At 39.8% G+C, this 25,901-nt stretch overlaps 1 protein-coding gene and 1 pseudogene across 5 annotated transcripts in view; both read left to right on the top strand.

The window, feature by feature from the left end:
* ADAMTS12 (ADAM metallopeptidase with thrombospondin type 1 motif 12) overlaps window positions 1-25,901 on the top strand; it is a 368,456-nt gene that overhangs the window by 217,364 nt on the left and 125,191 nt on the right. For 4 of the 5 annotated variants that reach the window (NM_001324512.2, NM_030955.4, XM_017009905.2 and 1 more), the window contains 4 exons: window positions 12,587-12,711; window positions 16,294-16,443; window positions 24,930-25,073; window positions 25,661-25,805. In NM_001324512.2, coding sequence (NP_001311441.1) covers window positions 12,587-12,711; window positions 16,294-16,443; window positions 24,930-25,073; window positions 25,661-25,805 — 564 coding nt within the window. Of the gene's footprint in view, window positions 1-12,586; window positions 12,712-16,293; window positions 16,444-24,929; window positions 25,074-25,660; window positions 25,806-25,901 lie in introns of those variants that run through there. The other variant, XM_017009907.1, reaches the window with a different exon arrangement.
* On the top strand, window positions 17,951-18,517 carry ST3GAL5P1 (ST3GAL5 pseudogene 1; annotated as a pseudogene).

The raw sequence follows: 25,901 nt of genomic DNA, 5'->3' as shown, positions 1-25,901 counted from the left end.
AGTGGGTTTTATTCCAGCTTAGGACCCCCAAAATAAGGAAGCCCCAATCCTTTAAAACAGATTGTAAGCAAACGTGTCCAACTTTTGCCCCAGAGGAAGCCATCACCTTTATTATTATGGACATAAAGTAAATCCTTCCTTTTCCCTGGAAAAAGACTATCTTCTAAGGCTGTTTCCTTTACAACATCCTTCAAAGGATACTCTGGAACAAAACCTATATCTTTGCTCAGATGATGTGCAGAAACACGAGACACCCATGTAGAATCTTCTACTAGCAGTTCCTATTACAGGCACTGGAATTATTATTGCAGATTTTCTACTGAGTTCTCAAACTTCTGGCCTCTTTACTGCCCCTTCCCTAATCCACAGGAGAACTTGCCTCTTGTTAACTTACCACAAAGCCTCCCATTCACCTAGTCTTCACTTTTTCTGGCCTAATGGATATATTCTCTCCCTTTTCTCCTTTCCTTCATGGGTGGTGTGCATCCTCAGTTTTGTCAGTCAGTATATCTGCTGTAAACCAGGATATATTCAGTGCCTGAGACAAGGAGAAGAATAAACCTCAATTCTTGTTCTGGAGGCCCTAAGAGGAAAGCAGGCATACAATTTGATTATTACGACCTTGCACAGCAAGTGCTGTGAACCAAGTATGAAGAAGGTATATTGGCAGGAAGCTAAACCAGACTAGGGGGCAGGGAAAGCTCCCTGGAAATGCCCAAATTAAATCTTAAAGAATGAATAGAGGTTGAATGGGTTAAAGGGGGTAAGAGAAAAAGACAATCTAGGAAGAGGGAACATCTTGAAGAAAGGAAGGTGTGTGGGAGTATGTGAGGGAGATCTGAGGGAGTGCTAATACAAGCAGTTGTTGCTAAAGCATAAACCGTGAGGTTGCAAATGAAAGGAGAGCTTCCTGGAGGCTAGACTTCGAAGGATCTTGAGCCATGGTCATGATATGGACAGACTTTTGTTTTGATCCACCTGCCAACAGTGAGGAGGATGGATTTGAAGAGGGCCTGGATATTGTAAACCAAGCATAAAATGAAGGTTTGGGCTAAGGACAGTAGGTAGCAAAGATGTAGAGGAGGTAAAATTAGCAGCACATGATGACAGATTGGGATGCAGGATATAGGAGGAGAGGGGGATAACAAGACACTGGCATTTCTAGATTGGGCAACTGAGTCGATGGTGGTTCCTGCAACCACAGAAGGCACAGAAGGAATCGCAGGTTAAAGTGGGAGGAAAAGATTTCGGGGATGCTGAGTTGAAAGTACCTGTGGAGGTGACCATCAGGAGATTTAGGTTCATAAATTTGAACTCGGAGAGATTTGGAATGAAATACAGATGTGGGAGCCAACAATCATATTTTGGAGTGATTTCCAAAAATATGACTGATTGAGAGTGAACTAAGCAATGAACCAAAGGAAGGACAGAAGAAGAAGGGCTCACAGAGGAGCCCAGGAAGTGGACAAAGAGTAAGAAGAGGACAGAGGTAAGAATCTCGAAAGAAGAGGTTATCTGCTTTTCTGTTTGTCTCCTCACTGAGGGTAGGATTGTGAGGTTGAGGAGTAGAAATAAGCCATAATCATTCATTGGTTAATTACTAAGTCTTTCCAGTTATTCAAAGCAGAGTTTAGAGAAGTCCTCAATAGTTTGGAAACCAGTAGTCCTAAACTCATAGCTGCAAACCTGTGTTCCAAGCCCTGCTCTGCCAATGCCTGCTTTGTGACTTGGCTAAGATACTGTCCCTCACTGTTTAAATGAGAGTATTAAATGCATAATTCCTGAGGCCCTTCAGGGAAATGGGCTCTTCATTATGATGAAAACATTGGAGGCAGCATTTGGAATGCAACATCTGGAAGATGACTCTGCTTTCTCCACAAGGATGAAGGTGGGTCCTTGCTGACACTGAATTTGGTTCAGGAATGTGGGAGACTGGACCTTTGTAAACATTCGCTTTTTCGAAACAGACACACGTAGATTGGAATGTAAGATTTTCAAACTGGTGATTGAAGCCAGTGTATAAAAGGACAATATTGAAAGGTAGAGCTTTTCAGATCCAATCAAATCCCCCTTTCAACAGTGTGCCCTTGCCAGGGACCCTGTGAGCTAAGGGAGAACAAGAGCTCTATTTCTGCCTGTGTAGCTGCTTCAACTCTAATAAGCTTTTATATTCATGGCTATTGAATTAGAGATCTTAATTAACTTTAGCATGGATGTATCCATGTGTGAGTGTGTGGATGTAGAATACTGTGGGGGTATGTGTGTATGTATGTGGATGTGTGTGTATGTATGTGTGTGTGTATGTGGATCTGTGTGTATATGAGTATGTGGGGGTGTGTGTATGTATGTGGGGGTGTGGGGCTGTGTATGTGAGTATGTGGGTGTGGTATGTATGTGGATCTGTGTGTATGTATGTGGGGGTGTGTGTGTATGTGAGTATGTGGATCTGTGTGTATGTGTGTATGTGAGTATGTGGATGTGTGTGTGTATGTATGTGGGTGTGTGTGGATGTGAGTGTGTGGATGTGAGTGTGGATGTGTGTGTATGTATGTGGGTTTGTATGTATGTGAGTGTGTATGTGAGTATGTGGGTGTGTGTATGTATGTGGATGTGTGTGTATGTGAGTATATGGGTGTGTGTGTATGTGAGTATGTGAGTTTGATGTGTATGTATGTGGGTGTGTGTGTGTATGTGAGTATGTGGGTGTGTGTGTATGTGAGTATGTGGATGTGTGTGGGTATGTATATGGTTGTGTGTGTGTGTATGTGGGGGTGTGTGTGTATGTGAGTGTGTGGGTGTGTGGGTATGTGAGTATATGGATGTGTGTGGGTAGATATATGGTTGTGTGTGTATGTATGTGGATGTGTGTGTGTTTGTGAGTATGTGGGTGTGTATGGGTATGTGAGTATGTGGCTTTGCGGTTGTGTGAGTGCATGGGCTCTTCCTACCCACTGTAACTCATCTGAAAGACTACAGGTTCCCTTTGATTCAAAGGTATGAGTTCTCACATATAATCAGTGAGTAATCTGCATAGGATCATACCAGAAAGTGTTATAAGATCTTCTATTGCAACCCTCCAGCCTTGGTTCAGACCAGTTATTTTTAAGGTGTTTTTGTATTTTTCTGTTTGTTTTGAGTTCATTGTACATTCACATGCAGTTGTAAGAAATAGTACAGAGAAATTCCTATTACCCTTCATTCATTTTCTCCTAATGGTAACATCTTGTGTAATCTTAGTACAATATGACAACTCAGAATGTGATAGTCCAACAATTCCACCTACCCTCAGATGCACACAGTGGTGTGTGCATGTGCATGATCATGTGTGTATACATTTAGTTCTATGCGATTTTTGTCACACATATAGGTTTGTGTGACCATCACCACAATTAACATTAGAACAGTTCCCTCACAAGCATCCCTTGTGCTACCCTTTCATACCTTTTATACTTCCCTTCCACCTACCTACCTGATCCCTGATAAGCACTAATCTGCTCTGTGATAATACATCTGTATGATTTTTGTCATTTCAAGAATGTCATATAAATGGAATAATACCAGATATAACTTGAGACTGGATTTTTTTCATTCAGCATAATTCCCTTGAGATCCATTGAAATTGTGTGTATCAAGAGTTTTTCCCCTTTTTGCTGAGTGGTATTCTATGATATGTACCTATTTGTTTAACTATTCACCCACTGAAGGACATTTGGGTTGTTTCCAGTTTTTAGCTATTATGAATAAAACTACTATAGATGTTCAACTACAGGTTTTTGTGTGAACATAAGTCCTCGTTTCTCTGGAATAAAGGCACAGGAATGTAACTGCTAAGTTATATGGTCATTGCCTATGTAGGGTTTTGTTTGTCTGTTTGTTTGTTTTTTGAGATAGAGTCTCGCTTTTGCCGTTCAGGCTGGAGTGCAGTGGCACGATCTCGGCCCACCGCAACCTCTGACTCCCGGATTCAAGCAATTCTCCTGCCTCAACCTCCTGAGTAGCTGGGATTACAGACACCCACCACCATACCAGACTAATTTTTGTACTTTTGATAGGGACGGGGTTTCACCATGTTGGCCAGGCTGGTCTCAAACTCCTGACCTCAGGTGATCCACCCATCTCAGCCTCCCAAAGTGCTGGGATTACAGGTGTGAGACACCGCGCCCGGCCACCTATGTAGTATTTTTAAGAAACTACCAAACTGTTTTTCCATAATGACTGCACCATTTTCCACTCTCACCAGCAGTGAATGATTCAGTTTTACCTCATCCTCACCAGCATTTGGGTGTTGTCATGATTTTTTATTTTACCCATTCTGGTAAATGTGTAGTAATATATCATTGTGGTTTTAACTTGCAATTCCCTGATAGCTAGTAATGTTGAGTATCTTTTTATGTGCTTATTTGCTATCTGTATATCCTCCTTGGTGACGTGTCTCTTTATGATATTTGCCTATTTTCTTATTTTTTTTTATTGTTGAGTGTTGAGAGCTCTTTACGTATTTTAAATATAAGTCTTTCGTCAAATATGTGTATTACAAGTATTTTCTCCCACATTGTAGCTCTTTTTATCCTCTTCATAAGGTTTCTCTCAAAGCAAAAGTGTTTAATTTTGATGTGATCCAATTTATCAATTCTTCCTTTTATTAATTATGTTATTAGTGCCAAGTCTATAAATTCTTTGCCTATCCCTAGGTTCCTAAGATTTTCTATGTTTTTTTTCTAGAAGTTTCATAGTTTCACATTTTATATTTAAGTCTATCATCCATTTTGAGTTAATTTTTGTACCAGCTATGAGGTTTAGATTGAAATTCTTCTTTCTCTTTCTCTCTTTTTGTTTATTTGTTTTTGGCCTGTGGATATCTAGTTGCTCCAGCACTATATATTTATTTTCCCAAATGCAAATAATGCTTTATTATCTGGATTTAAATTTTTCACTATGTATTTCTTAATCTAAGACTTTTGCCTTTTTTTTAATACTACACCTTCTGGCCTTCAACTCGTATATTCAAGAAGTGCAGAATAAGTGTAATATTAATTTAAGTAAAAGTTTAACAGATCTACTACATTATAGAGTGCAAATATAGTGATGTATTCCGAAAACAAATGGAATTCATTCCCAGGTCATGATATTCACACAATAAACACACACAGTAGAACTAATGACATATCCTACATGATGCTTGGACTTTACCTATTGGTACAGGATTCATTGTGGAACATTTCACAGATTGAATATGGTTTGGGTAAGAGCTTCCCCATCCCCATGGGCAACATCCTCATGGGCAATGTGAAACATTGTCAAAAGTTTTAGGGAACTGGATGATATCATTACAACGAACAAAAGAAAAGACTGTGGTAGGAAACAGGAGAAAGACTGGAGAAAGAGTATTCTTTTTTATGGAAAATAGCTTTAGAAATCATAATAATTCAGGGAGGACTGTAAAGAATTATGATTTGCTGAACATAGACATGTTCAATTTTATTTGTTCGAAAGTTTATGTCCACTAACTAATTGTATTGATTACTTTCAGACCATTGTTTTTCTATTTTCAAAGGAATGCAAATCCCTATTTTTGGTTTACTTTACATCTCTTTATTAAAATGCATGTTTCATTATTGTTTTAGTCTGAACACCTTTTATTTTGGGCTGACTCTGCTTGCTGTCTGCAGTTTCTCCCAAAAAAACAAAGAAATTGAGAACTTGAGTTGCTATTGAATCAAGATATTTGCCCTGAACTTGATTGTGTCATCAGTGGGAAAGTTACAAGTCTGATAAATGGTGACTGACTTGCAGGGTAAGAGGGAGGAAAAAATCAGCTAAGTATCTGATTAGAATCCTCCAGAGGCCGGGTGTGGAGGCTCACGCCTGTAATCCCAGCCCTTTGGGAGGCCAAGGCAGATGGATCACTTGGGGTCAGGAGTTTGAGATCAGCCTGGCCAACATGGTGAAACCCCGTCTCTACCGAAAAATAGAAAAAGTAGCCGGATGTGGTGGTGCAGGCTTATAGTCCCAGCTACTCAGGAAGCTGAGGCACAAGAATCGCTTGAACCCTGGAGGATTGTGCTACTGCACTCCAGCCTGGGCGACAGAGTGAGACCCTGCCTCATAAAGAAAAAAAAAATTCCTCCAAAGCAGATTTAACTGTAATGTAAATCAGTAGATCAGTCATCAAGGAACAGATCCGTAGGTTAAAATAGATGCCAGGACCACTAAATATCAGAACACAATTACAGGTGTCCCCTTACAATGGTTCCATTTATGATTTTTTGACTTGAGAAAATTATATGCATTCAGTAGAAATGATACTTCGAGTGCCCATATAATCTTTTCACTTTTAGTAGAGTATTCAGTAAATTACATGAGCTATTCAACACTTTATTATAAAATAGGCTTTGTATGAGATGATTTTTTTCCAATTGTAGGCTCATGTAAGTGTTCTGAGCACACTTAACGTAGGCTATGCTAAGTTACAATATTCGGTAGGTTAGGTGTATTCATTGCATTTTCGACTTATGATATTTTGAATTGATGACAGGTTTATCAGGACGTAACCCAGTTGTAACTCAAGGAGTATCTGTGTCACTTACTTCTTGTTGCTTGGGGTGAGAATTTGTCAGGTTTGTTTCCTAGTATCTTGCACACATTAAAACAAATGCTAGGATAGAAAGATATTGGAAGCAGGTGCAGTAGTATGGTGAAGTTAATTGAGGAAAGTCTTTCAAAGGTGCTCTGGAATCTTAATGATTTCCAAAACTGTTGCTTTTGAGCTTCCCTATCTTGCCTCTGGTAGCCTAATTAATACAGAATGACTTTTTAACTGGTACCAAGTTCCACTCCAGTTCAAATGACAGCTGTCAGGAGAATGTGGCTGAGAACTGAGGAGATTCTTAGTTATCTACTTATTTTTAGAAGATAGACGATACATATATATTTAATTATCTACCTATCTTTAGAAGTGTTTGGTTTAATGAGTGCTGTCATTCATAAGGTGTTTTAGAACCATGCTAGGTATTGTTGGGGCTCTAAACAGAGTTTGTTTTCAGATTATTTAATCATCAGCAGGGCTTCAATATCCTCCCATCCACCACAGCAAAGTAGAGAGTTATAGAGAAAATATAGTCTTTGAGGTGCATATAAAATAATGGAGGACCTATGGAAAATGCAAATATGCCAAAAATGCTACAGATACAACCAATGGTGTAACCAGTTGCAACCATACAGAATTATTCCTATTATTGAGGTTGTATATTTACTCTTTCAAGTGTGAGTCTCTGTAAGCGAGAAATCTTTTTTTTTTTTTTTTTTTTTTGAGACAGAGTCTCACTCTGTTGCCCAGGCTGGAGTGCAGTGACGTGATCTTGGCTCACTGCAACCTCCGCCTCTTGGGTTCAAGCAATTATCCTGCCTCAGCCTCCCAAGTAGCTGGGATTACAAGTATGCACCACCACGCCCAGCTAATTTTTGTATTTTTAGTAAAGATGGGGCTTCAGTAAGTGAAAACTCTTTAAGTTTTATGTGCTATTTGTGGCTTTACCACTTGAAAACCATTAGTGATCAATTCTAATTACTAAAGTAAACTTTCTTCTTAGCAGTAGACAGGAGTTAATCATCACTCTCCTAACTATTAATACTTCACATAGTTGTTCGCAAAATCAAATAAGATGAAGTATGTGGAAGTGATTGATAAGCCATAACGTGCTAAGCATGAAACGTGGTTTTATTATTATGTAGAACCTCACTGGGACTCACATATATAAAAAACGGATTAATCTGTTATAGAGTAAACACACCTAATAGCAATAATTTAAGCATATCCTTAAAAAGACCCTGTATGGTGGCCGGGCATGGTGGCTCACGCCTGTAATCCCAGCACTTTGGGAGGCTGAGGCAGGCAGATCACGAGGTCAAGAGATCAAGACCATCCTGGCCAACATGGTGAAACACTGTGTCTACTAAGTATACAAAAATTAGCTGGTCATGGTGGTGCGTGCCTGTAGTCTCAGCTACTAGGGAGGCTGAGGCAGGAGAATCCCTTGAACCTGGGAGGTGGAGGTTGCAGTGAGCTGAGTTTGTGCTACTGCACTCCAGCCTGGCAACAGAGTGAGACTCTGTCTCAATAGAAAAAAAAAGACCCTGTATGGAAGATACACCTGAATGTGTGTTACAAGCTAGGGAATCGAGAGGAGCCACCCCAGAGATTTGTTCCTTATCTATGATAAACACCTGAGCCTCTCCCCCATCCTGTGGAACACAGGCCATACGGGGGTTGAGGCCCTGAGTTTTGGAGTAAATGAAGGTTGCCAGGTGGAGGTTATTAGCAGGACGTTATTAAGTGAAAATACAATATAGACCACATGATGTCGGCAGGTGGTTGTAGTTTTTCTGGCCGGCCCTGCGCCGCTGGACTGTGTATGTTAACGGTGGAGGGTGTCCAGTTCTTGGCATCTTAAAGAATTGGCCAAAACACACAAACAAAGCAAGGAAGGAATGAAGGGTTTTATTGAAAATGAAAGTATACTCCACAGTGTGGGAGCAGGACTGAGCTTAGAGGCTCAAAGGCCCTGTTACAGAATTTTGGGGAGTTTAAATACCCTTTAGAGGATTCCGTTGGTTACTTGGGATACGCCCTATGTAAATGGAGAGGATGAAGTAAAGTTACAAAGTCATTTATGGCATATGCCCTATGGAGACGATATTTCCTGTTGTAGCCGAAGTGTGAATGTTTTACCTGCCTCTAGACCCATTTTCCTGCCTCATCTTCCCCCTGAGAGATGTGATCCCCATAAATCTTTATGGGAGGCAGAGGGATCGATGGTGGGAAGGCAGATATATTGTCCAGCCCACCACTGGACCCTCTCCCCATCACATAAGCCCCTAATAAAACCCTGTATCTCATTTGCTGGCCTTGGGTCTCTTCTTCAGTCTCTTGAACCTGATGCCTTCCCTATTGAGGTTAATAGAGGTTTGGCACAACATCTGTGGTTTCCACCTGAAGTCTTTCTCTCACATTTTGTGTAATTCTTGGCTGTTGCTCATGGCTTTGGCTTTGGTTTAGGTCCCTCTTCTTGATTTCTCTCTTTCTCTCTTATACATTTTAAATTTATTTTTAATTGATAAAAATTGTATTTATTTTTGGTGGACAACATGTTTTGAAATATGTGTACACGGTGGAATGGCTAAATCAGGCTAATTAACGCATACATTACCTTGTATGCTTTCTTTTTTGTAATGAGACTACTTAAAATCTACTCTGTTAGCAATTTTCAAATATACAGTACAGTACATTGTTATTAATGACAGTCACCATGTTGTACAATAGATCTCTTGAACTTATTCCTTCTATCTAAACTGAAATTTTGAATCCTTTGACAAACCTCTCCCAGCTCCTCCCCCAGCCCCTGATCTCTGCTTCTCAGTTTTACTTTTATAGATTCCACATAAGTGAGATCATGTGGTATTTGTCTTCCTGTGCCTGGCTTATTTCACTTATGTCTTCAAAGTTCATCCATGTTGTCACAAATGGCAGTATTTCCTTGTCTTTTAAGGCTGAATAATGAATGTTCCATTATATATATATATTTCTTTCCTTTGCCTTTTCCCTTCCCTTTATTTCTGATTCATGCCACCTGGCCAGTTTTTTATGTTGGGTGGGCACGTTTGTTCCATATATATATAATGGAATATATATGATATGTATACCTTACAGTTTCTTTATCCATTCATCAGTCTATGGGCACTTAGGTTGATTCCATATCTTGCTATTGTGAATAATTCTGCAGTGAACATGGCAGGTATCTCTTTGACTTACTGATTGTATATCCTTAGGATATATACCCCATGGGATTCTGGGATCATATGGTAGTTCTTTTTTTAATTTTTTGAGAAACCTCCATGCTGTTTTCCATAATGGCTACTAATTTACATTTCCACCAACAGTGTACAATGGTTTCCTTTCCTCCACAACCTCTCCAAATCTTATCTTTCATCTTTTTGATAGTAGCCACTTTAACAGGTATGAGACGATATCATATTGTAGTTTTAATTTGCATTTCCTTGATGATAAGTGATGTTGAATTTTTATATGTGTATCTGTTGGCCATTTGTATGTCTTCCATTGAGAAATACCTATTCGGGTCCTTTGCCCATTTTTCAATTGGATTATTTGTTTTCTTGCTATCCAGCATAATTTATTGAAAAGGCTGTCTTTCCTTCAGTGAATTGCTTTTTTACCTTTGTCAAAAATCAGTTGGGCATATCTAGGTGGGTCACATTTGGTGTTTCCTGTCTGTTTCATTGATCTATGTGACTATCCCTGCACCTATAGCACACTCTCTTGACTATTATAGCTATATAGTAAGCCTTAATATGAGGTAAAGTGATACGTTCCACTTTATTTTTCTTTTTTCAGAATTGCTTTAGCTAACCTGAGGCCTGGAACTTTTTAAATAAATTTGATATAAATTTTAGAATGAGCTTGTGTGTGTCTACAATAGAGTTGCTGAGATTTTGATAGGAATTGCGGGTAAAGCTATGCATTCATAGCTTGAGAGAATAGATGATGTCTTTATTATGTTGAATCTTCAAATCCATTAACACAGTATGTTTCTGTATTGACTTAGGTCTTTGACTTCTTTAAGCAGCATTTTATAATTTTCAGGATACAGATCCTGTATATGTTTTGTTAATTTATACCTAAGTATTTCACTTTTTGTAACAATTATAAGTGGTAATACTATTGGTAATTGTAAATGGTAATGTTAAATTAATGAGTGTTCTCTAAGAGACCTCTCCCAAAACATAACAAAGAAATGTAGGGTTAAAAACAGACCAGAAAAATATCTGATCATAGTTGATGCTTTATGTGATAACATGCCTTCCTGTCTGAAGGAGCTGGAACTGAGGCACCTTCCCAGTGAGGTTGATGACCAACTGCAACTCCAAGTTTTATCTAGGAACCTTTTTTATATTCTTTGACTCAGTATCTGAGCTAAGTGATCTTGATCTAGTTCTTCACTTCCCTGAGGTTTAATTTCCCTTATTATACAATAAAAATGATAATGCCTTCTTTACAAATAATACTGAGTAGATGCAATTAAAAGAGACAGCGTATGTAAAAGCATCTGGCACATAGTAAATGATCAAGAAATATTTCCTTCGTTTCTCTCCTCCCTTTCCTTCCTCCCTCCTTTTTTTCTTTCCTTTTCTCTTATCCCTTCCCTTTATTCCTGATTCATGCCACCTGACCAGTTTTTTATGATGGGTGGGCACGTTTGCTCCCATCTAGGGAGGGCTGTTAATCTAGCAACAGCTTGGCTGGTTGAATTGGAGGCCGACTCCCTCATTCCCAGCTCGTCCCCCAGAATTCCTCTACCATATATCATTCTGCTGGGTGATGTAACAATGAAAATTATTAAATAATGAAGTCAGTGTCTTCCATCTAAATTCTTTATGCTGAGCAGCTCAGTGACTTTTAGCACGTGATGAGCCACCTTTCGGTGTTTTCACAAAAGGAAACTGGTCTATAATAGTTACTTATGACGAGGAGACCTAAAAATGCCTCTAACACATAACTGATGCCCCTCGGGCCTTTTATGATTTGGGTGTGGGCCTCAGCAAAATACAGAATGGTAGAGAAGCAAGCTCATAATTTCATGCAGAGACTGTCCTGAAGTTCTTGGACTGAGCCCAGAGCAAGGCTCAGATGAGAGTGAGCCAGTGGAGGTTAGTCATCCTCCTGGTGGAATCCATCCTGTACCAGGGATGGCTCTATGTGGAGGCCCCAAAGAAATGAGGCAAGGGAAAGTAATTTCTCCTTTAGAAATTCAAATTAAACCGGAGCCACTAAAGAGCTGACTATTTTTCTTCTTCTCCCCATTCAGCAAGTGTTCATCCAGATAATTTGGAGTAATCCCTTCCCTCGTAGCCCCAGTAGTAGCTACCAGCCAGGCAGATGCCACAGGGCTGGCATAGGCCTCAGAAGCCCTTGAAGCTGCAGGCTGGGGGCATCTGCTACAGCATCCTACTTGTTGTCAGAGGACCAATTCTCCTAACTGGTCAGCAGCCTGGAGAGATTATGTCATCCACTGTCCTTCACCCATGGGTGTCAAACCAAAATAAAATTCAAGGGTTAGAAAACATCCAGTGCAACTCTAGCCTTGCAGGATGTCTCATGAGAAGAAAAAACTTTTGTTGAAAATCTGCTTATTTTGCATTAGAAATAAAAATGCCTCTTTGATATTGCATTGGTTTAGGATGCAGAGAGACACAGAAATAGACCTTCAAATAGCTTTTGGTTATTGCTAATATATTTTTAAATGTTCTTCAAGGGCTGCTTGTCCCAGGGATAATTTCTGTCTTGGAGTTTTCCCCTTCAGGTTCTTCTAGTGGAGGTCATTAGAATGGGAGTGTTTAACCCAGAAGATTAGTCAAGAGGAGTCAGTTGGCCTCTGCCACATGACTGCCAAATGTCTGATGCACCCACCCTGAATTCATCTCACTTGGACACCTCTGGAGATGAATGCCTAATGCAATGGTCCCTGACCACAGTGAGCTCTCCCATGCTAATCTCTTCCTCTTCTTTCTCCAGCAAGGACTGAAAATAGTTCACCATGCAGAAAAGACACTGTCTAGCTTCTGCAAGTGGCAGAAGAGTATCAATCCCAAGAGTGACCTCAATCCTGTTCATCACGACGTGGCTGTCCTTCTCACCAGGTACACCAGAGACTACATGAAACCCAGGGGCAGTAAAGCAGGGAGGGATGGCAGGTGAAAGGCTTACCAGGTGTTCAAACCCATGACATTCTCACTATTCTTTGCTGCTCTTGTAAAGACAGTGTCTTTGATCTAGTCAACTCCTGACTTCCCTATCAGTAGAGGAAACAGTTTAACAAACTTGCTAATACGACAAAGCTCTCCTTGTTAATAAACTGCATCTGCTGGCAAAATGCAGGCCTCTTTACTATCCCACTGATGATTTCCTTTTTAAAACTGGTTTCTTCATGTAGCTCTATAAACAATCAGGAAGCTTGCTTGCAGAGCCTCATTAAAGACTCTTGTTACTTTTAACCAGTGGGATTTCCAATCCTTTGCTATTTTATTTTTCTCCAATGTAGAAACATGAAATATCTTTACAGAAATCTGTACACCTTTTAACTGTTTGATGCTGAGGATAGGATATGAGGAGCAGGTCCCCGCTGAGTAGGCAGACTGGTTTGGTTACATCTTTCTCCCATGAAAATATCATTTTGTTCTAATCACAATAGAGCCTATAGTGCTAATAAGAACCATCAAACCTTCCAGGACTCATAGCTGTAAAAATCCAATGAACTTTCTTGATCAACTCTTGCTCTTTGAAGGCTATGTTTGCTCATTGATTCAATAAATATTTATTGAGCACCTACTATATACTAGGCACTATTTTAATCTAGATGAAAGAAGGGCTTATATTAGAATGGGGTAAAGTAAATTCTTCTTGGGCTCCGTATGCCTATTTGTCCAGAAATCCAGGTATGTATAGTAAAGGAGGCCTCTTGGCCCTGCCCTTCAACCACAGAGAACTTCAAGCACTGAAAGGCCCTTGGTGTGCACTGTCCCTTTGGAGGATAGGCTGCCCATGAACATTTTGGCCCTGTGATCTGTCCCTGTGATAAGATCATCTCAATGCATAGAATCCCTACAAGGAAGGATAATCAGCCCCCACCCTATCCAAATGTCTACCTTGCCCTGATCCAAAACTCCAGTCATCAGAATCACTCTTTTGAGTGAAGGTATTCAAACGCTGGTTAAATGTGAATGTATCCCACAGGAAGTTTTTGACATAAGCCTGTGACAGTAGGTACATTAGGTTCTAAGACACCTTGGGTTGATCAATAGGTCCCCTGGGAAATAGCATGGGTGTGGAATGTAAGCACGGGGACTCTGGGGAGCTAGCAGACAGCCTGGGGACACCGAGGACCTGATCAAGAGGCCAGGTGAAGGCTTCAGTCAGACAGAAACTTCTGTAGGGAAGAACCCCAGAGTCAGGGAATGGCATTGCCCACTAAGTTGTGTCTCAGAAAGTCTTTCCTTCCCCTGAGAGCAGATTCAGATGCTCCTGTCATTCTCACCTGAAGAAATGAGTGAGTTAATGATAGCTTACATGTGTGAAATGTTTGATATGGACCAGGCACTGTGCTATGTCTATTAGAACAGCCATTGTTCCATTTACTTCCCACAAGGACACTGGTAGTTGGCTACTATTAATCATTCATATTTTACATTATAGGGAAACTGAACCTTGGTTATGTCTCTTGCCCAAAATCTCATTGCTGTTAACGGGTACAATTGGGACTTAAGTCCAGGTAGTTTGACCCCAACAGCCATAACTTAGCTATTACCCAATATGAATACGAAGGATCTGATCTCCTTTTTTTCTTATAGTCACTTTCCTTCCTTAGGACAGGGGTCTGTTTGCATAAAAGTGTGTTGAACCTCAACAGCTCCTAGACAGTGGAGAGCATTTCAAGTTCTATAGCAGTATTTCCCACCCTCAGCACTATTAACATTTGGGGCTGATGATTCTTTGTCGTTGGGCCTATCTTGTGCATTGTAAGATATTTAGCAGCATATCTGGCCTCTACCCATGAGATGTCAGTAGCACTCTCCTCCAAGCTCTGACAGCTGAAACTGTCTGCAGACATTGCCAAATGTCCCTTAGGAGGGGGTGAAGAGCAAAATCACCCACCCTCATTGAAAACCACTTGCCTGAAAAGATAGGTAGGATCACGAAGGGAGGGAGGTATGAGACTGAGCTTTGCCTCTGAGAGACTATCCTGAGATCCACATTAACAGAGTTCTCTACAGAACAGCATTCAGTAGATGGAAGATTTGGCATGAAACACACCCAATGTGGGTTCCACATGTGCAGCTAGTGGCTGCTGCAAGCCAAGGCATATTTTCTGTTACATAGTGGCCCCAGTGCATGGTGGAAGTAGAGCTTAAGCTGCTGGCCTGTAAGAACCATGTTCCTATAATTCTTTTGTTAGCCACTTTTTTCTTTAGTGCTGGACACTTCAGAGGCACTCTATAATCAGTATTTAATGTGCCTGACCTCCTGCCATATCAAAATGAGAAAGTCAGGGGATCAGCAATGAGCACCATTCATCTTTTTCCAGCAGCTTCACACAGACCTGGACTTTTTGAATGAAATAATAACAAGTGCATTCTGCAGCAGGGGTAGAAAAGTGTTTGATTGGTTCTCTTACAGACCTAGAAGTTACGTAAATGACTGGGCTGTATAATCTCGCTCTCCAGTACTGAACCCCCAGTAACTGCTGCTGCTAGTGAGAGTGCGGATTTGAGTTTGTGGTGCATGTGCTGAGACTGGGCCTGCTCTTTCCTGTCCTATTACCCCAGCCATTGCAACCTGGAGAACTGAAGATTCACATGGGTTCTCAAAGTCTGGATCTTTTCCATGTCCCAATGGATGAAAAAAGCAGACCATTTGCTGCTAGAAATGGTGCCCACACAAACCCCGTTAGCTGCTGGTGTTCAATTAACTAGAGCTCATAACATTGTGGCCATTTCTGCTAGTCCCTCTTGGCAAAGAGCTCCTTTTGTGCTAAAGAAAACCTAGTGACTAATTAGTGACTCTTTCAAAAGTCTTGTCCGTGATTGAAATAATCTCTACCAGTTTATGGGAGCATGTTTTTTCTATTTAAAAGCCATAATTAGTATTTTCTGAGATTCTAGATGTACATGCACACACAGGCATGCATTCTCTCATATATGCAATATTGTTAGTGGAATGGGGCTGGATAGACAAGTATTAAATCTCTGGATAGGTTGATGGGACCAACTATCTTTTTCATGAATGGGAAAAAGAAGTTCTTAGATGAGTTTTGAACACAGACCTCAGAAAGACTAAAAAGGATTTTCATATTTGAAAAACTCCAGTCACTGCTGATTGTTCCTTCCCTATTTAAAACTTCAAATTAACTTGAGTTTTCAATAAAATCTTTTGTTGGCCAAATCATGTAATTTGACCTCCCGAGATCCAGAGCAAAATAAGCTCAAAATAACACATTTGCTATATTTTCCCACATTCTGTGTTGGTGAAATTCAGTAATCAAAAGGTAAAATCAGAATCATCTCAGTGAATTCAAAATTGCTGCCTACATTCATGTAGACTTTTTAAAAAATGCCAAGCATACTTTACAGACCATATTGAATGTGAGTTTATACCCAGATTTTTTTCCAGGAGGTTTTTCCAGATGTTCCTTTGGGCGCCTTAGCTTCTGTATTCTCTGCTTTCAGAAAGGACATCTGTGCTGGTTTCAATCGCCCCTGCGAGACCCTGGGCCTGTCTCACCTTTCAGGAATGTGTCAGCCTCACCGCAGTTGTAACATCAATGAAGATTCGGGACTCCCTCTGGCTTTCACAATTGCCCATGAGCTAGGACACAGGTAAAGGGCCAATGATAGGGAGGTTTGCTCACCATATTCATGTGTCAATATCAGCAGAGAGAATTTGAGGTGAACACACCTCAAATTGGGGGTCAGGAGACTCAGATTATACTGTGGCTTGTGACTCACCCTCCTCAACCTCTGCTTTCATCTGTAAAGTGGGGATAGTAATGCACCTCATGGGCTCCATTGTCTCCACTGCCCAGACCATGTATACTCACACATATCACAGAACCAAATAGGCCACTCCAGTTCTCTGGATTAGAATGGAGGAAGGGCAGAGATAAGCTTGAACTCAGTTGTTTAATTGAGGAATAACCCTTGGTTAGTTCTTATGAAATGATAATGTTAATATCACTAAAAAGCCATAAAACCTAACATTTTTGCACCTTACTTTGTGCCATTGTGCTTTTCATTGCATCATTGAATCTGCTTAACAACCTCTTGAAATAGATGGTACTGTTAGTCCCGTTTTACTTATGTTTATTAAAGGAGGACATGGAATAAATAAAAAATGGAAAACTGCTGTAAATTTGGAAAGACTATAATGTGAACACCAGTTAACTGGATGTCCAAGTTGTTCACAAAAATGTGTGAATTTGATTAGGTGAATTCCTTGAAGGCAGGTTTCAGAATGCTTGAGTGAAGATATAATGAGATTCTGAATTCACCAGATATCAGAGGTTTCCATGGAGGAAAGTTCTTAGCTTATTTGTAACTTTCTTTGCTGTTATATTTGCTAACCACAAATAAGAGAGCATCATACTAATAGGAAACTGGGTGGGGAGGCACATGAACAGCTGAATTATATCCCCTGCCTGTCATGTATCCACCAGCCTGGATCTCCTCCCTTTGAAGAAGGAAAAATGCTGGGGAATATTCTTAGTGCACAACTAGAAAAGAGGCAGGATTGGAAAAAACACTGGAGACTGAATTATTCCAGGCCTGGCCTCTCCAGTTTCAGCTTGCTCACCATTTTTCTAATATAACATTTGGACTTTCTAAAACAATTTTACCTACATTATAAAGCCAGAGCATTGCTTTGAGAATTGGAGAAACAGAATTGTTGTTCTGACTTTTCTACTGACCAATATTATGACCTTAGATAATTCCCTTCACCACTCTATACCTGTTTCCTCATCTATAAAATGAGTAGGTTGAACTAGGCAATATCTAAGGTGATTTATTGGATTCTCACCAAAAAGGCCTTGGTTATAAATGTGGTATATTCCAGTATCCTTAGTTATCAAAAATTCAGAGATAGAGAAGCTAAGTGACTTGCTTTCATTAAATAATAATTAGGGATGCAGGGGAGCTGGCCATCTTGATGAGGCTAGGCCATAGTTGTTGGCATGTCGATAATAAAACCTGGCAAAATGTTAAGTTATTGTTATGCACAAACAGACAGGAGTCCCCAGTTCTGAAATGTGGAAGGACATGGCCCCTGTGGCCTTCAGTCAAGACATTGCTGTCAACAGTACCTGCTGGCCAAACAATGCTAGGTGACTGTAACTGGGTCAAACTGAGAAGTTATCACTCAAGCCATCCCAACAATGGTATACTCAAACCAAAGAGAAATGGAAAAGACTTTGCTTGATAAAAGACATTTTCGAATCCTCACTTTTTGTGTTCCAAGGATGGATTCTTTCTATCCTCAAGTTCAACCTGATCTTGTAACAAGAATATGTTAAGCATGTCCTTCAAAAGCAATGTTGCCCAATTTTTGAGGCAATCATGGACTTAACTTCCTGGGCATGGACACTTCACCTTTGTAAGGAAGGCCACCTAAGTAAACAAAGCTAAGGGCAAGTATGATCCTCCTTCCAGATTTCAAATTTTCTCTAATAAAGTTAAGAACCTCATGGTAACATTACTTGGGCACAATTTCTCCGAACACTTAAAAACAAATAGTGGTAGATGTTTAGTAGTTATTGGGAGTGGTGGATTATTTAACAGACTAGAACTGAGTCACTACCTGAATCACTTTGATATTGTAGTAAGTTTAAACTGAACACTCGTTCAGAACTATCTGATGCATTGTGGAAATAAAACTACTATAAGGTTTCTTTATCCTATACTTTTGTTGTTATTATTGTTCTATTTCAAATTATGCAGGAAAAAAGTGAGGATCTAGCTCCTAAAAAAACCTCTAACTAAATATCAAGTTTCTAAGTAAAAGAATTAAAGAACACTGAAGGCAGAACTAGAGAACCGTCTTTGAGTTTATTCAGAAAGCCATTATTCTCAGCAAACTAACACAGGAACAGAAAACCAAATACCTCATATTCCCACTCATAAGTGGGAGTTGAACAGTGAGAACACATGAACACAGGGAGGGGAACATCACACACTGGGGCCTGTCGGGGTTCAGGGGAAAGGGGAGGGATAGCATTCGGGGCATACCTAATGCATAATCTAGGCTTAAAACCTAGATGATGAGTTGATGGGTGCAGCAAACCACCACGGCACATGTATACTTATGTAACAAACCTGCACATTCTGCACATTATCCCAGAACTTAAAGTAAAATTAAATTAAATTAAATTAAATTAAATAAATAAAACTAAAAAAAAAAAAGTCAACCCCGAGACAAGGATTTGAGAGCAATTAATTTATGTGGAAGGTAAAGGAAATACCAGTAGGGAAGTAGGGTGTAAAACAGAACAGGGAAGGTAGACAATAAACAATTCATTATCTCAGCTTCCACTCTGAGCAGTTGAACCTTAATCCCATGGACAAACTCCAAGAACGATATACAACACACGTTTCAGAGTTACCCTACCCAACGTGAGAAGAACTGGGCTGTTTTATATACCAACACCCTTAAGTTGTTGGTTAGAGGCTGTTCCCAGAGGTTGTTATTAATAATTCCTTGATACTTTCAGCAGAGCAGTCTAATTGGCTCTGGAGAAATCCCAGGTAAAGAGATGCATATACTAGCAGCTGGAAGGCAGCTAGTAGTGAGTCTATGAACAGGTACCAGTAGCATCTGTTACCAATAACTTACTCAGGGGCATTAAATGCTGCCCCTTAGAAAGTTATAAGTCATGGAAGATAGAATATACATACTTTTCCATATGCCGTCTACTAAGTATGATGAAAAACACTGAACACTATATCAAAAACAAACATAGGAAGACTGAAAGATGGAGAGAAGGAAGACAGGCTGAGGACCACAGAACCTGAAGAGTGACATGGTGGTGAATTCCCTGGCTTTTCTTTTCTCTCATATATGCCAGACTTGGAACTGATGATGGCAACAACCTGGAAATACACACACACACACACACACACACACACACACACACAAAATCACCCACATACGCCTGTTCTCTCTATCCAAAGGAGTAGGAAAGGGACAGTCTAACAAGGCAGAAAATTCTAGACAGTAACTCTTCTACTCCAGGTGAACAGCAAAGGAAAGAAAAAACTGTACAACTGTGGCTCTATGCTAGAAAAGTCTGAGTGGGAAGCCTAGACTTGCATCTGTGTGAAGCTATAACAAAGCATCAAACACCACTACTTGGGTAGTGTCAAAAAGACCAGTTAGGGACTAAGACTTTGATCCCTACAGGCCAGTAATGAGGGCTCCCCTAGCCCCACCCCTGTGGTGTCAGGACAGATTACATGGGGAGCCAGAAATTTCATCCACCCCTAGACAGTAACAAGGAGCCATCCCTTTGACAACTCAGGTACCTATAGAGGCTTGGCAGTATTGAAGCAGTGGCCCCACTCCCTTCCCCTCCAGAGTAGTGTCAGAAAAGCAAGCTAAAACTGAAGATTTAAATAAGATCCATAACATAATATAAAAACCTCCAGGTTTCAATATAAATCACTCATTATACCAAGAACCAGAATATCTCAAACTGAATGAAAACAAAGAATGTCAAGAGATGACAGATTTTAGAATTAGCTGACAAATATTTCAAAGCGGCCATGGTGAAAAAGCTTCAATGAGCAATTATCAACAACCTTTAAACAAATGAAAAAATAATGTGTCAGCTAAGAAATAAAAGACATGAAGAAGAGTCAAACATGTAGAACTGAAAAATGCAATAATGTAAATAAAAAGCTCAGTGAACACTAGGGCTCAACAGTAGAATGGATGAGAAAGAGGAAAGAATTAATGACCTAGAAAATAGAACAATAGAAATTATGTAATCTGTATGAGCAAAGAGAAAGAGACTAAAAGAAATTGAACAGAGCTTCAGAGACCCGTGAGAATATAACAAAAGATCTTACGTTCATGTCATTGGAGCCTCAGAAAGAGAGGAAAAAGACAATGGCATTGAAAAAGTGCTCAGAGAACAAATGGCTGAAAATTCTGCAAATTGGATGAGACATAAACCCACATATTTAAGAAGGTGAGAGAAACTCAACCAGGTTAAACCCAAAGAAAATCCATGCCCAGGCCTATCATAATTAAACTTCTGAAATCTAAAGAGAAAGGAAAATCTTCAAAGCAGCAAGAGAGAAAGGATACCCCATCTATAGGAGGGAAACTATTTGAGTGACAGTGGATTTCTCATCAGAAACAATGGAAGCCCAAAGAAGAGGTGCAATATTTTTCAATGTTAAAAGAAAAGACCTGTCGACAACCAAGAATCATAAACCAAATAAAGTGCATGAGAAGGGAAAACTTTCTAATTCATTTTATGCAGCTAGTATTACCCTGGCACTAATTTCAGACAAAGACAATGCAAAAGAGAAAACTAAAGAACAATATCCTTCAGGAATATAGATGTAAAAAAATTAACAAAATATTAGCAAGTAGAATTCAGCAATATAAGAAAAAAAGAATTAGACACAATGACCAAGTGGGATTTATTTCAGGGATGCAAAGCTGGCTCAATATTTGAAAATCAGCATAATCCACCATTGTAACAGGCTAAACAAGAGAAACCACATGATTATATTAATATTAATTTTAGTAGATAAAACATTTGACAAAATTTGACATCTATTCATCATAAAAACACTCAGAAACTGAAATTTCCTCAACTTGATAAAGAACATCTTCAAAAAATTTAAACCTAATATTATACTTAATGCTAAATCACTGAATATGTTTCCCCTAAGATCAAAAACAAGACAACGATGTCCATTCTCACCACTTCTTATTCAACATAGTACTAATAGTTGCAGCCAGTACAATAAGATAAGGAAAGGAAATAAAAAGCATACATATGGGAAAGAAAGAAACAAAACTATCCCTGTTTGCAAGTAACATCATTGTATATGTGGGGGACCCCATATACAATGAGAGAACTGATCTTTGACTAAGTCTACAGAAATATACAATGGGGAAAGGACACCATGTTTAATAAATGGTGCTGGCAAAATTGGATAGCCACACGCAGAAGAATGAAACTGGACCCCTATCTCTCACCACATACAGAAACTAACTCAAGATTGATCGAAGACTTAAATGTAAGTCCTGAAACTACAAAAATCCTAGAAGAAAGAAACTCTTTTGGTCCAGGCAAAGAATTTATGGCTAAGACCTTAAAAGCAAATGCAGCAAAACAAAAAATAACCAAATGGGACTTAATTAAACAAAAAAGCTTCTACACAGCAAAAGAAATAATCAGTGGAGTAAACAGACAACCCACAGAGTGGAGAAAACATATGTAAACTATACATCTGACAAAGGACTAATATCGAGAATCTATTAGGAATTCAAACAACTGAACAAGAAAAAATAAACAACCCCATTAAAAAGTAGGAATAGGATAAGAACAGACATTTTTCAAAAGAAGACACAAAAGTGGCCAATAAACATATAAAAAATCCTCAACATCACTAATTATCAGAGAGATGCAAATTAAAACCACAGTGAGGTATTATCTCACACCAATCAGAATGAGTATTATTTAAAAAATCAAAAAAGGACAGCTATTGGCAAGGATGTGGAGAAAAGAGAATGCTTATACACCACTGTGGTTGGAAATATAAATTAGCACAAACTCTATGGGAAACAGTATGGAGGTTTCTCAAGAGCTAAAACTAGAGCTATCATTCGACCCAGCAATCCCACTACTGGTTAGGTACCCAAAGGAAGAGAAATTATTGTGTAAAAAAGATACCTGCACTCGTATGTTTATTGCAGCACTATTCACAATGGCAAAGTCAGGAATCAACCAACAGATGACTGGATAATGAAAATGTGGTATATATAGACCACGGAATACTACACTGCCATAAAAAAGAATGAAATCATGTCTTGCGCAGCAACATAGATGGAGTTGGAGACCATTATCCTAAGTGAAATAACTTAGAAAATCAAATACCTCATATTCTCACTTACAAGTGGGAGCTAAACAATGAGTATGTATAGACATACAGAGGGAAATTATAGACACTGGGGACTCCAAAAGCTGGGGAGAGTGGGAGGAGAATGAGTTGAAAAGTTACCTACTGGGTACAACGTTCACCATTTGGGTGATAGGTACACTAGAAGCCCAAACCTCAGTGTTATGCAATGTATCTATGTAAAAGACCTGCACATGTATCCCCCAAACTTATAAAAATAAAGAATAGAAAAAAACTGTTAAGGTGCCTCTCAGGTACTTCTTTTTTAGTTGTATAATTCTAATTAGCTGTGGATCAAACTAAGAAACATTGGCGAGATCAACGAAATGGCCTGGGACAGACCATAAGGAGAAAAATATATTAAAACAATATCCCAAGAAGACACCCATCATAGTTTAATAACAAAGATATCCCTTTGTTTTTTGCACACTTGTTTGTTTCATCACTGATTGTGTATAATGCAAAAGAGAAAGTAACTTGTGCTATCACCCAAGTGAATAATTTTACTTTTATTTTGAGAGAAAACTTAAAAATCCATTTGTGAGGGCCCTAGATTATATGGCTTGGTGTATCGACATATCCACAGATAAGAAGATCATTATTCATGTAGGTTTTTAGAACCTTGCTTGCAGTTTAGGATTTTAACTACTGAACAGTCAAACTTGTAGAGTACCTCATGCTCTGGGTGGGGCTGGATTTGTAGCAGGCTAGGGAAAACCTGCTCAGAAGGAAGCTTTCGTTGAACCACATTCTTTGTGGGTGTGTGGTAAGAGCTTTGTACATTGATTCTCTGACTCCTTTGTGAGTTTTATATTCATGTGGAATGTGATTAGAGTTTGTTAAGTACATTGATAATACCATAATGCATGAAAACACAAGAAAATCTCCAAATCCCCCAAAGACTCTTCTCAGCAAGAGTTGCTAATACTGATCAGAAGGTTTCATTAAAGTTGGATATGAGCTTCCCAGTCAGACGAGTTGAATTTCACTACAAAGAGTAAAAGGTCATACAGATTTAGAAATTTAAGCCAATGTCTCCAGGTTTAAATGTCTAGTGTCTCAAAGTCCACCCCAGTGGAGAGAGTTCTGGGAATCTCAGAAAACGTCTTTGGGTGATCTTGAGAACGTGGCTTATAAACAAAGGCTTCTGAATTGTCTTCTTCCCTAGGCACCCTCGTGCCATGGTGGATGGTTAAGCTTTTCAAGGCCCTTAAAGGCTGCTTCACTGGGTCAGCCCTGGCAATGGAAGGTCAGGGAACAGACCAAGTGACACATGGACAAGAGTACTGTGTTAGGAGCCAAAGATCTGTGTCTGAAACCTAGTTTTACCACTAACAAGCTATATGATTGTTGACAAATCTCAAAGTCTAAACTTTTTCATATGGAAAAGGAAAATAAGCTAGATCATGATAAAAAGAAAACAAGAATGTTTTTTTAAAAAAATTCTATCCTTGGTGAAGCCCTTATTATCTGCCAGGTACCCTGTTAAATTGTTTTCAAACTTTATTCTATTCAGATCTCATTGTAGCACTAGGATGACTACCCCATCTTCTAGGAGAAGAAAATGAGGCAAGTTTTAATGATTTACAGGTCATTTAAGTGGCAAGGCTGGAGTTCAAATACAGATCATCTGTCTTAAAAATCCTGCTGTTAACACTGAATTAGGAGGACTCCTGTAGCAATAGTAGAAAGACATTGATCCCTCAAAGCTTGTAGGCTTTGACAAAGTCTCCCAGAGGCTTCTCCTTTCATGCTGTCTCTTAAATTCTGATGAAAAGGGAGAAGGAAGGTTTTGTTCTTTTGTGCTGTGCACTGTGGTTGCTGCAGCAGGAGAAAGCAAATAGCTGGGGGCAGGATTTGCCTTCCTGACTCCTGATTCATAGAAAGAAAGCCAGACAGAGCTCTTAGCCTTCTGCCAAGCAGAAGTTTCTGAATTAGCTGCATGACTCCCATGGATGCATATTTGAGGTAAAGCATGCCTACAATGCTCCCTGTCCTTTTTCATTTGAAAATTAGCTATGCCCCTCCGACTTCAAAGTCTCACTTTGCAAACAGTTGCCTTCTGTACAAACGTGGCTGTCTGTGAGTTATTACGCTCTTAGGGAAACTATGGTTTTTCTTCCTGTTTAATGCCTGCCTGCTGGCTCTTCTTGTGCTTGGTTCTTCCCTGCCAGCTTCGGCATCCAGCATGATGGGAAAGAAAATGACTGTGAGCCTGTGGGCAGACATCCGTACATCATGTCCCGCCAGCTCCAGTACGATCCCACTCCGCTGACATGGTCCAAGTGCAGCGAGGAGTACATCACCCGCTTCTTGGAGTAAGTGACAGTGTCTCATGACGCCCTCACCTGGGTCTCTTTAAATTGGAAGCTGCATTGAGTTTTACACAGAGAAGCTGATGCCTGGAAAAGGCTGGATTCCATCCCACAGGCCACCATGTCAGGGTGGCATCAGAAGGGGCGGATTTCACTTCTGCATTCTGATCCTGAGGTCTAGATGGGCTCTGCCCTCTTGTCACAGGCAGGTGAGCATCCTGTCCCATCCCAGATTGCTCCTGCCCCAAAATAGCTTTCTATGAGCCAATTATGAATTAAGTCCTTGGGAACTGGCAGGAACACCCAACAGAGATAAGAGTGGTCATTCAAACCTCATTGAGAGTAGGATAATGATTTTCTAATTTTACCATGGCTTGTATTTTCTAGATAAACTAAGCTTATGTTGTGGGATATGATTTGCATTTTCTTTAATAACTCCCATGATGGGCCTAGAGAGTTCTCTGCCTTGTAAAAAATAAAGTTGTCTTAAAGGACAAAGAGTAAACCAGAGGGAAGTTTCTGTTGAATGAAAGGCTGAAGGTAAAGGGAATCCTAAACAACTCCTCTCATTTCTGTTAACTTGTTTTCAGCCGAGGCTGGGGGTTCTGTCTTGATGACATACCTAAAAAGAAAGGCTTGAAGTCCAAGGTCATTGCCCCCGGAGTGATCTATGATGTTCACCACCAGTGCCAGCTACAATATGGACCCAATGCTACCTTCTGCCAGGAAGTAGAAGTAAGTGTACCTCTTGGTGGCTATATGCAGGGCTTCAGATCTCCAGCATGCTGAAGGAAGGGCCAGGACAATATTTGGAAATAACTGAACATCCAG

The sequence above is a fragment of the Homo sapiens genome, chromosome 5, assembly GCF_000001405.40.
Source record: "Homo sapiens chromosome 5, GRCh38.p14 Primary Assembly".
NCBI classification, from domain to species: domain Eukaryota; kingdom Metazoa; phylum Chordata; class Mammalia; order Primates; family Hominidae; genus Homo; species Homo sapiens.
This window is presented reverse-complemented; position numbering and strand designations above follow the sequence as displayed.